Below are 13,746 nucleotides of genomic sequence, written 5' to 3' on the forward strand. Positions count from 1 at the left end.
GGTTAAGAAACTCACTCAAAACTGCTCAACTACATGGAAACTGAACAACCTGCTCCTGAATGACTACTGGGTACATAACGAAATGAAGGCAGAAATAAAGATGTTCTCTGAAACCAATGAGAACAAAGACACAACATACCAGAATCTCTGGGACACATTCAAAGCAGTGTGTAGAGGGAAATTTATAGCACTAAATGCCCACAAGAGAAAGCAGGAAAGATCCAAAATTGACACCCTAACATCATAATTAAAAGAACTAGAAAAGCAAGAGCAAACACATTCAAAAGCTAGCAGAAGGCAAGAAATAACTAAAATCAGAGCAGAACTGAAGGAAATAGAGACACAAAAAACATTTCAAAAAATTAATGAATCCAGGAGCTGGTTTTTTGAAAGGATCAACAAAATTGATAGACTGCTAGCAAGACTACTAAAGAAAAAAAGAGAAAAATCAAATAGACGCAATAAAAAATGATAAAGGGCATATTGCCACCAATCCCACAGAAATACAAACTACCATGAGAGAATACTACAAACACCTCTACGCAAATAAACTAGAAAATCTAGAAGAAATGGATAAATTCCTCGACACATACACTCTCCCAAGACTAAACCAGGAAGAAGTTGAATCTCTGAATAGACCAATAACAGGAGCTGAAATTGTGGCAATAATCAACAGCTTACCAACCAAAAAGAGTCCAGGACCAGATGGATTCACAGCCAAATTCTACCAGAGTACAAGGAGGAACTGGTACCATTCCTTCTGAAACTATTCCAATCAATAGAAAAAGAGGGAATCCTCCCTAACTCATTTTATGAGGCCAGCATCATCCTGATACCAAAGCCGGGCAGAGACACAACCAAAAAAGAGAATTTTAGACCAACATCCTTGATGAACATTGATGCAAAAATCCTCAATAAAATACTGGCAAACCAAATCCAGCAGCACATCAAAAAGCTTATCCACCATGAGCAAGTGAGCTTCATCCCTGGGATGCAAGGCTGGTTCAATATATGCAAATCCATAAATGTAATCCAGCATATAAACAGAACCAAAGACAAAAACCACATGATTATCTCAATAGCTGCAGAAAAGGCCTTTGACAAAATTCAACAACCCTTCATGCTAAAAACTCTCAATAAATTAGGTATTGATAGGACGTATCTCAAAATAATAAGAGCTATCTATGACAAACCCACAGCCAATATCATACTGAATGGGCAAAAACTGGAAGCATTCCCTTTGAAAACTGGCACAAGACAGGGATGCCCTCTCTCACCACTCCTATTCAACATAGTGTTGGAAGTTCTGGCCAGGGCAATCAGGCAGGAGAAGGAAATAAAGGGTATTCAATTAGGAAAAGAGGAAATCAAATTGTCCCTGTTTGCAGATGACATGATTGTATATCTAGAAAACCCCATTGTCTCAGCCCAAAATCTCCTTAAGCTGATAAGCAACTTCAGCAAAGTCTCAGGATACAAAATCAATGCACAAAAATCACAAGCATTCTTATACACCAATAACAGACAAACAGAAAGCCAAATCATGAGTGAACTCCCATTCACAGTTGCTTCAAAGAGAATAAAATACCTAGGAATCCAACTTACAAGGGACGTGAAGGACCTCTTCAAGGAGAACGACAAACCACTGCTCAATGAAATAAAAGAGGATACACACAAATGGAAGAACATTCCATGCTCATGGGTAGGAAGAATCAATATTGTGAAAATCGCCATACTGCCCAAGGTAATTTATAGATTCAATGCCATCCCCATCAAGCTACCAATGACTTTCTTCACAGAATTGGAAAAAAATACTTTAAAGTTCATATGGAACCAAAAAAGAGCCCGCATTGCCAAGTCAATCCTAAGCCAAAAGAACAAAGCTGGAGGCATCACGCTACCTGACTTCAAAGTATACTACAAGGCTACAGTAACCAAAACAGCATGGTACTGGTACCAAAACAGAGAAACAGATCAGTGGAACAGAAGAGAGCCCTCAGAAATAACGCTGCATATCTACAACCATCTGATCTTTGACAAACCTGACAAAAACAAGAAATGGGGAAAGGATTCCCTATTTAATAAATGGTGCTGGGAAAACTGGCTAGCCATATGTAGAAAGCTGAAACTGGATCCCTTCCTTACACCTTATATAAAAATTAATTCAAGATGGATTAAAGACTTAAATGTTAGACCTAAAACCATAAAAACCCTAGAAGAAAACCTAGGCATTACCATTCAGGACATAGGCATGGGCAAGGACTTCATGTCTAAAACACCAAAAGCAATGGCAACAAAAGACAAAATTGACAAATGGGATCTAATTAAACTAAAGAGCTTCTGCACAGCAAAAGAAACTACCATCAGAGTGAACAGGCAACCTACAAAATGGGAGAAAATTTTTCGCAACCTACTCATCTGACAAAGGGCTAATATCCAGAATCTACAATGAACTCAAACAAATTTACAAGACAAAAACAAACAACCCCATCAAAAAGTGGGCAAAGGATATGAACGGACACTTCTCAAAAGAAGACATTTATGCAGCCAAAAGACACATGAAAAAATGCTCATCATGACTGGCCATCAGAGAAATGCAAATCAAAACCACAATGAGATACCATCTCACACCAGTTAGAATGGCAATCATCAAAAAGTCAGGAAACAACAGGTGCTGGAGAGGATATGGAGAAATAGGAACACTTTTACACTGTTGGTGGGACTGTAAACTAGTTCAACCATTGTGGAAGTCAGTGTGGCGATTCCTCAGGGATCTAGAACTAGAAATACCATGTGACCCAGCCATCCCATTACTGGGTATATACCCAAAGGACTATAAATCATGCTGCTGTAAAGACACATGCACATGTATGTTTATTGCGGCACTATTCACTATAGCAAAGACTTGGAACAAACCCAAATGTCCAACAATGATAGACTGGATTAAGAAAATGTGGCACATATACACCATGGAATACTATGCAGCCATAAAAAATGATGAGTTCATGTCCTTTGTAGGGACATGGATGAAATTGGAATCATCATTCTCAGTAAACTATCGCAAGGACAAAAAACCAAACACCGCATGTTCTCACTCATAGATGGGAATTGAACAATGAGAACACATGGACACAGGAAGGGAAACATCACACTCTGGGGACTGTTGTGGGGTGGGGGGAGGGGGGAGGGATAGCATTAGGAGATATACCTAATGCTAAATGACGAATTAATGGGTGCAGCACACCAGCATGGCACATGTATACATATGTAACTAACCTGCACATTGTGCACATGTACCCTAAAACTTGAAGTATGATAATAATAATAAAAAAATTAAATCTATAAAAATACATAAAGAAAACTTTAATTATTATTTGTTACTATGAGACTTGATTTCTTTAAAAGATCAAAAATTTGTCCTCCTGAAACTAAATCTGTTTTCAAAAGAAAATCTGAATAAGTTTTTTGAAAATCTAATGTAAAGAAATATGTGTAATATATAACAGAAAATTTTAATATCCTTAACAAAAATATAGAATAAAAGCTGATATATAAAAAAGTAAACAATTCAACAAAGTATAAGCAAAATTTATGAATAAATACACAGAAGTAAGAATAGTAAGTAATAAACAAACATAAAAAAATCTTCAATACAGTGAGTGGTCAGAGACTGGCGTATTTACTGAGAAAAGGTTTTCACCTTTATGTTAGAAGGAGTGTGAATTTCTATAGCCTTTTCTGAGAATGTAATATATGTATAAATTGACGGCAATATATGTTCCAGGCATACATTGTTTTATTGCATTTTGCCTGATTGTGCTTCATAAATACCATGTTTTTGGTTTTTTTTTTTTTTTACAAATTGAAGTTTTGTGGCAACCTTGGGTACAGCAATATCGGCAGCATTTTTCCAACAGCAAGTGCTTACTTTGATTCTCTGTGTTACATTTTGGTAATTTTCAAAATATTTCAAATATTCTCATTATTTTATTGTATCAGTCACAGTGATCTATGATCAGTGATCTTTGATGTTACCATTGTAACTATTTGTGGGTGCCATGAATTACACCCATATATGATGGTGAACTTAATTGATAAATGTTGTGTGTATTCAGACTGCTCCACCAACTGGCTGTTCCCCCATCTCCCTCCCTGTCCTTGAACATCCTTGTTCCCTAAAAGCAGTAATATTAAAATTAGGCCAATTAATAACTCTACAATGACCTCTAACTGTTCAAGTGAAAAAAAGTCATATGTCTCTCACTTTAAATCAAAAGCTAGAAGTGACTAAACTTAGGAAGGCACATCTAAAGCTGAGATAGGCTGAAAGCAAGGACTCTTGGGCCAAACAGCCAAGTTGTGAATGGAAAGAAAAAATTCTTCAAGGAAATTAAAAGGGCTACAAGTGTTCTTGATGATATGAAGAAAGTTTTAGTAATCTGGATAGAAGATCAAACCAGCCACAACATTCCCTTAAGCCAAAAGCTAATCCAGAGCAAGGCCTTAACTGTCTCCAATTCTGTGACACCTGGGAGATGTGAAAATGCTGCAGAAGGAAAGTATGAAAGTAGCAGAGATTGGTTCGAGAGGTTTAAAGCAAGGTAAAAAGTGCAAGCTGAAGCAGCAAGTGCTGATGTAAAAGCAGCAGGTTATTCAGAAGATCTAACTAAGATAACGGATGAAGGTGGCTCAACTAAATAACAGATTTTCAGTATAGACAAAACATCTATTAGAGACATCTAGGACTTTGATATCTAGAGAGGAGAAGTCAATGTCTAGCTCCAAAGCTTCAAAGGATGAGCTGACTCCTGTCAGGGGCTAATGTAGCTGGTGACATCAGGGTAAAGCCAATGATTATTTACCATTTCAAAAATTCTAGGGTCCTTAAGAATTATGCTAAGTCAATTCTGTCTGTGCTCTATAAATGGAACAACAAAGCCTCAATGACAGCACATTTGTTTAGAGCATGATATACTGAACATTCTAAGCCTACTATCAAAACTTACTGCTCAGAAAGAAAGGTTCCTTTCAAAATGTTACTGCTCATTGACAATGAACCAAGTCACTCAAGAGCTCTGATGGACATGCACATGATTAATGCATTTTCAAGCCTGTTCACACAACATCTATTCTGTAGCTAATGGATCAAAATGTAACTTTGTCCTTCAAGTCCTATTATCTAAGAAATACATCTTGTAAGAATATAGCTGTTATAGACAGTGATTCCTCCAATGAATGTGGGAAAGGTGAATTGAAAACCTTTTGGAAAAGATTCACCATTCTAGATGCCATTGAGAACATTCATGATTCACAGGAGGTAGTCAAAGCTTCAAGACTTCAGTGGAGGAAGAAACTGCAGATGTGGTAGAAACTAGTGGAGCCTGAAAATGATGACTGATGCAATCATGATCAAACTTGAACGGATGAGGTGCTTCTTATGAATGAGCCAAGAAAGTTTCTTGAGATGACATCTACTTCTGGTGAAGATGCTGTGAACATGGTTGAAATGTCAGCAAAGGATTTAGAATATTCCATAAACTTGTTTGACAAAGCAGGGGCAGGGTCTGAGAGGACTGACTCTAATGTTGAAGGAAGTTCTACTGCAGGTGAAATGCTATCAAACAGCGTCATAAGCTGCAGAGAAATTTTCTGTGAAAGGAAGAGTCCATTGATGTGACAGACTTCACTCTCGTCATATTTTAAGAAACTGCCACATCCAGGCTGGGCACAGCGGCTCTGGCCTGTAATCCCAGTTACTCAGGAGGCTGAGGTGGGAGGACTGCTTGAGGCCAGGAGTTTGAGACCAGCCTGGGCAACACAGCAATTCCCTATCTCTAAAATAAGAAATGAAAAAAATTAGCTGGGCATGGTGGTGTGTGCCTGTAGTCCTAGCTACTCAGGAGGTTGAGGTAGGAGGATCCCTGGCGCCCAGGAGTTTGAGGCTGCAGTGAGCTATGATGATGCCACTGCATGTTGACAGGCTGAACAAGACCCCATCTTTAAAAAAGAAGGAGAAGAAAACAAATTGCCACATGCATCCCTACCGTTCTATGATTTGCAACCACCACCCTGGTCAGAAGCCACCAATACTGAGGCAAGACCCTTCACCAGTAAAAAGATTATGATTTGCTGAAGTCTTAGATGATCATTAGCATTTTTAAGCAACAAAGCATTTTTAAATTAAGGTGTGTATTTTTTAGGCATGATGTTATTGCATACTTAGTAGAACACATGGTGTAAATACAACTTTTATATGCACTGGGAAACCAAAAAGTTTGTGTGACTTGCTTTATTATGAAATTTCTTTTACAATACATCTGAGTTATGCTTGAACATACTGTATGCACACACGCACACACACACCCCTACCTTTGAAAAATCATAGAAAAATGCCTAAGATGACATTACAGGAAATAGACAGTTGCTACTGGAATGCAGAAAAATAGAATATTACTCTTTTTTATACCTCTATATTATTTGAATTATTAAAACAAACATGCATTGCCTTTCAATGCATGTTTCAATGCATATTTGTTTTAATTGCTTTTCAAGTTATATGTCAAAAATTATTTAAACATGCACCACTACCACGTATGTACATGGGTACCAAAAGTGTTGTTATTTTTAGGTGAATGTTTAAATTTCCTATATTATAATAATCATTGTAATCATTCTGCTGAAAAGATTATATTCAAGAGGCTGGATACTAGTTACATGATTCTTATTTACAACCCCAGAAGAAAAAAAAGAAAGTGTATGGGTTTCAGGAAACCAAGGGATATTTCATGAAGGCTCTATTTCCCTGATCTTCTGATTGCCATAAAAAAAAACTGAACAAACACCTGTTTCTACATGTCTTGGAACAAGGACTACACACAACCTGTTGGAGACATAAAGACTGTAGACCACACTTCTCATGTGGGCTGAAGGAAAAGAAAGACATGCTAGAACACCCTAATTGATGTTTAGGGGCTTTTCCCTGATACCATCCCTCTTTGTGGTCCAGGAAGAGGCCCTGGCAATGTCCTCAGACTGCCATGTGTGAAAATAAGATATCTTTGTATTGTTTTTCTTAAATAAGGTTCCCTAAATTGTATCAGTTTCAAGCTCTACAAAATCTGGATCCATCCAGTTTGAAGGTAAGTTGAATCACAAATAACTGCTGCTTATCCAAAAGCATCAATATCATTATACAAATGGTACTTATTCTTGAAGAGGTAAACTTTATTAGATATCTATAGTCATTTGTAAAACCAACATTTTGTATTTGGTGTACCTGAGAGAATAGTGAATTATTTCTAAGAACTTTAAAACAGTCTGTCCCAAAGAACAAAATGTAGGATCAGTACTTAATGAATCACAGAGGAGATATACAGAACACCTGAACAAAAAGTATAAATCCAAATTCAGCAAGAGTGGCAAAGAAGCAGTAAGTAAGTGCTCACCAGCCTAGGGATAAAGATGTCCTCACTTAAGCAGAAGTTGGTCAGACATGCAAACAGGAACAGGAAAGCCACAGAAATAAAAGCTAGTGTTACCACTACAAATTGTCAAGGGGAGATGGCAGGTTAGCCAATGAACTTTGATCTAATATACAGATGGGTGAACAGGTTCATAAAGAACATACCTGACCTATTTCTGAATCCACTAGGCAAGACACCCATCCTCAAAAACAAAAGGGCATCAGACTAATTTAGCCTGATTCCATTAGGATATCTAATTTATCTAATCCTCCTTGTTGTAATTCCATGTTCACCAAATAAACTTTTCATTGCTACTTGGCTTTCTACCCCATGGGATGCCAATATTCTGACCCTTGTGACTGCCTAATACAATTACAGATCAATAAAAGGGGAGTCCAGTTTCTACACCAATCACATTAGCTTGCTTAATAGGACTGGATTCTGGAAATAGAATCCATTTTCATTTGCTCTTGAGTTTCTGAGGCCAATGGCCAGACCCTGAATGCTGATCAATGCAAGAAGGGACCTCTTGGAGAAACATCATTCCAGCCTTTCCTTTGAAAGTTGCCAATCCCTGTGTGATTAGTGTAACTTCCAATCTGTATTTTGATTATCCTCACTAGACATTGCCAGCAATCTTGTCAAACAACAAAGCATCTAAAGTAAATATAAACAAGATGTACATAAAGTGAAAAACATGTAAATTTTTTACATTCCTTCTTTCAAATATAAGCTTACGCCACATTACATTTCTTAAGTATCAATTTATTCCAGATAACACTTTCTGGGCTTCTAAGCTTTTAAAAATTATTTTTACCTATGTGATTGATTATTAAGGTTTAGTGATCCGGTCTGGTACATCTCTTCCAACTGCTTCCTGTTTCCAAAGTATAAAGCAAGGTCTGTGGCAATGATGGCTTTGCGGATGATCTCAAGCACCTGCTCATATTCACTGGAGCTCAGAGTGGAGAAGATATTGTGCCCTTCCAACTAGGGAAAAAATACAAATAAAAACCACCAATAACAAGCACAAGCTCTAATCTTATGACATTTTTAGTTATTTGAAACTATATAGTCAGTCAATGACATCTGGCACACTAATGAAAGGTTTTGGGGTAACTTTTGTTTTTTTTGAATAGTTAGAAATGACTAACGAAAACTGCGTTTTGGTTTCTCTTTAAGCTACAGAAACAATGAAGCTACCACTTAAATAAACTATTGCAACTATAATAACATCATTTACTACCATAAAACCCCAGTGATTTAAATATATCTAGTTCTTGGATATTTCTAATAGTTTAAAAAAACTTGAAAATGTAAAATATTTAAGTTAAAGACTTTTCCTCTTAAGCTAATTAAAAACTTCAGTAATTTTTGTATTATACTAGAACCTTAATGGGCTAAAAAAGGCATCTATATCCTTGTCCACTTCAGGTTGTAACATACCAAAACATGCTTAATAGACAGTAATATATTTCTCTGTATCCTAGAAGAAAATGTCCTACAACCTCAATAAAATGTTTATTCAAACACATTAAAAACTCTAAGGGCAAGAGTACCTTTCCCTACAACACAAATCACTGAAGCTACGACAATTCTAGGACCATCTTCTATTCCCAAGGGAGGTGGGAATGGCAGATCATCACCCTACACAACACCAGAACACTGGTAATCTGGATTCTATTGGCTCAGAATATCCTTCGTGTATTAATCTTTTAAAAACTTTATAATAATTTATTCCTGTGGAAATTTTAAGGTTTTTATTTGTAATTGAGGGAAAAAAACCCTTTGTTGAAACTAAAAAGTTTGAGATAATTAAGATGCAGTCAATTTGCAGATTCATCAATTATTTTGATATTATTTCATTATTGGTCAATATAGTACTACTCTAAGTTGATTTTCAATTAATTTCACTTTTCTTAATATACATTTATTGAGTTAAAATACAGTAAAAACACAATGATTGAAGCATATTTCTTTAAAAAATTAGACATCTCACTAAGACACTGTCTCTTCATATTCTTAAATGAAATTGTACATGCACCATTTGTTTTCAATTATCAGAACAGTTCCATATTATTTGCTCTTAAAGTCTTAGAAGTATTTGAATTATTGTATGATAAATGCAGCAAATGGACTCAGGTCTAGTTATTTATTTTCCTGACAATAATAGTAGTAAGACCTTACATTTGTAGAAAGTTCTACAGCTTACAAAGCACTTTGAAACACACGACTTCACTTTCAAATTATAAAACTTATATTAGTTCAGAGTTCCCACATGGATTGTACATGAGATGCTATGAGATGAGCCGTTTGAGCATAGGCTGGTTAGTGACTGATGGGGACAACGGGAGGGGACTCAGGCTTTGGGCTGGTGGCTGAACTCAATAATCATCCAAGCTCGACTCTCTTCAATTTTGTTGTAGAAAGTTCTAAGAAGGAAATATTGATTCATGCTATGGTATCTGCTTTCCTTTGAAGTGACCGTAACTCACGTGAAGCAGGTAGCTCCTGCATCAACACTGAATGCCTGTCACCTCTATTTCCCACTTCATGAACATGTTTCAGCATGTCTGGCTGGTGCTCACGCACACATCTGCTTTCAGCAGGTCATGTGAAGGGAATCACAGCTGATACAATTTTGTGCTTTGTATTTGTATGCTTTACTCTCTTTATCACCAATAATTATCACCATAACCTGTTAAATTATAATATATAAAATATTCTAGTCTGCTGTTGACATTTAAAAAGAAATATCTCTAAAATAGGGTCTCCTTAGCCTAGGCTCTGTAAATTCTGTAGGGGGACAAAAGAGTTATAAACTCACTGCAATTCTACACACTGGATATGTCATCTGTAAGCTCATGTTTTTATCAGAGTCCCAAAAGTGTCGACTGTCCCAAAGCAAGTTAAGATTTATTTTAAAGAATGTATATATTCTACTGACTACTTTGGAGTCATTACTTTTCAGTATTAAAGGAAACTAGGTGAAAAAGCTCCATAGAGGGCTTTTATAATAAAAAGGTCTAACTCATTTACTGTCCCCTTCAATAATTTACAAGAGTAAAGGGAATGAATGAACAAACAAAAAATAAATATCTCCCTTTTCTTTCTTTGAGACAGAGTCTCGCTCTGTCACCAGGCTGGAGTGGATCTCTGCTCACCACAATCTCTGCTTCCTGGATTCAAGCGATTCTCCTGCCTCAGCCTCTAGAGTAGCTGGGATTACAGGGACGCACCACCACACCTGGCTAATTTTTTTTTTTTTTTTTTTTTTTGTATTTTTAGTAGAGACGGAGTTTCACCATGTTGGCCAGGATGCTCTTCATCTCCCGACCTCGTGATCTGCCTGCATCGGCCTCCCAAAGTGCTGGGATTACAGACGTGAGCCACCGCGCCCGGCCACGTCTCCCTTTACTTTAAGAGAATCTAGCATTTTGCTGCTATCCAAACTAAAGAAAATAAGGAAGGGAGATACAAGCAATGAAGCATAGCAGACAAACAGTATCTTCTTTAAACCTCCAACCTCACATTTGTTAACACATAATAAATCCTTATAATGCATTATAATACTTTTATACACCAATTGATAATTTTACTATAGTTACATAGTTTGAAGTCTATGTTAATTCAAGCTAGTTGATTCCATTTTGCATAAATCAAGCATGAAATAGTAGACTTTTTACACCCACGAATGTTTCTAAAACTTAACGTGGGTGAACAGCATGTAATTCTTAACTCTATGGAAGCACACAGGGAGGCTCTGGTTGTATGTAAATGCTGTGGCTGAGATCTGATATTAGAGAATGGAAACAATGTTGAAATTGGTGCTGACGCTGAAAGATGACCCAGGGACTGCCTTGAATAGATGATTCTCAACACTCCTTCCAGCCCTTAATCATAAGGATCCTAAAGGCTGTTAGTATTCTGTCCACTGCTGGGGGATTAGGGAACCACCGCTTTTGGAAAAAAATGTCAACGATGCAACTAAGCGCATCAAACATTCATGATGGCAATGCCTTTACAATACATAGAATACTGATTTTGAAAGTTAATTACCTAGTACATGAAACCACATATTAGGGAGCATTATAGTACTGTAATTAAGAGCACCGATTTTGGAGCCAAATAATTCTATCTTTTAATGTCATTCTGCCACTTACTAGTTATGTGACAAATAGATTACTTAACCTCCTTGATGCATATTATTCTCATCTGTAAAATGAAAATAAATTAATACCTATCTCATGGGGATATAATAAAAATAAACTGTATTAAAATATGTACAAAATATTTAAGTTTCTGGTTCATTGTAAGTACCCAATACATGATAAAACGATTACTATTATAATAGTGATGATTGATGATGATGATGATGATGATAAAATCTACCAGTACAACTTCCACAGTCAGAGTTAAAAAAGGAAAGACAGATGAAAAAACAAATATATGCCTAAAAGAGAATTTGATAGCCAAATACCTTTTCTATTCAGAACACAGCTGTAGAAAAGGACGGATTTAAACTAGCCACTTTGTCATATATTTTAGATTACCAGTACAGGTAGTGTTGAATATAAGTACAATAATTTTGCTATAATTGTAATATACAACAGCAAATTGTATCTAGTGCAGACGAATTGGAAGAACTCTCTAGCTAAGTAACAGAAATAGTGCTTCTATAAAGAGTAGTAAGAAGTCACGGGATCCCAAAATGTTGGTATAAATAGATAACTTTCTGAAATATGATCACATTTCAAAAGCAACAGATAATTTAAGATTAGTGGAACATTAAGAAAATGTTCTCAATAATGAGAATAATCATTCCTAATTGGTCTGTTTTCTAAAATTTTGACTATTTTTAAAGTCAAAATGGGCTATTAAAAAAGGCAAAGAAAAAGTATAGTTTCAATGTTCAAAATAATCATTCATATCTTATGAGTAAACAGAATAAATTGATTTAATATTCCAGCAATAATGATTCAATTACCATTACTAATTGTAAGCTAGTAAGTTTTAGGCAAGAAAACAAAGCTCACCTACGTTCTTGGATGTGACTGTCCACACAAAACAGTCTGCTCACATGAAGGCATTCTGCTTGCCTTCTTCCCCTGCTCAGTGTCTCAGTTCTCTGCCCCACCGGACACAGCTACTCACTTTCCTCACGTAAAGCTTCAGTTTCAGTCTCTGAGTGCTGGTTCTGCCCACTCTGCATCTTCCCCTCCCCATGCTCTACCTTCACACTTCCACTTGTGCCCATATCAACAGCCCCAGAGGTGGGCCTGTGAGTCCAGAGGTGAAGAAGGGGCAGTGACTCTCCTCATCAGCTTCTAATTCAGAAGAAGTGGGAAGCTAAACTCACAAACAGAAAACTTCAATACAGTGTTAAAAACAAAAAAACAAACAAAACACTAAGATGTATGTATGCTTGAGGTGCTCAGGCGCTATGTAAAAGGGGGCAGTGCTGTACCCCAGTCATGTGGGGATACACTCAAAGAATTTTACAGGATGAGGTCATGCCTGAGTGGGGGGCCACAAGAAAGGGTGTGGGGTAATTACATGTAGAGAGAACCCGGCCAATGGCACAGGGTTAAGATACGGTCTGAAACTACAGAAGCAGAGCAGATCTGTAGTCCTGGAACAGACAGGGGCCACTCATGAAAGACTTGTATATCCACTAAGAAAACAGGAAATTATTCCAGAGGCCCCAGAGAGTCACTAATGACTTTTAAACAGGAGAAAAACATATTCAGACATATACTTGGAGGACGGATTTGGGACACAAACACTTGGAGAAACAGTGATGGATGAGGAGGAAAAGGCGGAAAAACAGACAAAATACGATGAAGGCTGAAACCGAGATGTCAAGTAGGGATGGTGCTTGCCACTTGGGAGCTGTAGTGGTCAGAGGGGCCAGATTACCATTTACTAGAGACTCAAGGGACTTTCCTGTCTGCTAAATGTCCACCATGAGCTCTACACAGCGACGGGCCCCAAACACCATGAAAACAATCCTGATGGCCAGCATTAAGGCACAATGGGAAGCTCAGGGAAAAATGAGAACGCAGACTGACCTTCTCTGCAGATGCTCTTGTATTTACCCTTACTTCATGACTTAATCTCTTCCCATTGCCCACTCAACACGGGATTATCTACTGCATCCCTATCACTGTGACCAAGGTCAAGGCAAGCTGTGAGCAAATACCCACTTCCTGCTTTTCCCTACCATGAGTAACGTGTGTGTGTATGTGTGAGTGAGTGTGTGTGTGTGTGTGTGTGTGTGTGT

General features: G+C 37.2%; 1 protein-coding gene across 12 annotated transcripts in view; it reads right to left on the minus strand.

Annotated features, from left to right (window-relative positions):
* Positions 1 to 13,746, minus strand: part of PDE10A (phosphodiesterase 10A) — a 660,764-nt gene that overhangs the window by 43,625 nt on the left and 603,393 nt on the right. For all 12 annotated transcript variants that reach the window (XM_011535387.4, XM_017010194.3, NM_001385079.1 and 9 more), the window contains one exon: positions 8,281 to 8,453. In XM_011535387.4, the coding sequence (XP_011533689.2) occupies positions 8,281 to 8,453 (173 nt within the window). The remainder of the gene's footprint in view (positions 1 to 8,280; positions 8,454 to 13,746) is intronic.

The sequence above is a fragment of the Homo sapiens genome, chromosome 6 (assembly GCF_000001405.40).
Source record: "Homo sapiens chromosome 6, GRCh38.p14 Primary Assembly".
Taxonomy (NCBI): Eukaryota; Metazoa; Chordata; class Mammalia; order Primates; family Hominidae; genus Homo; species Homo sapiens.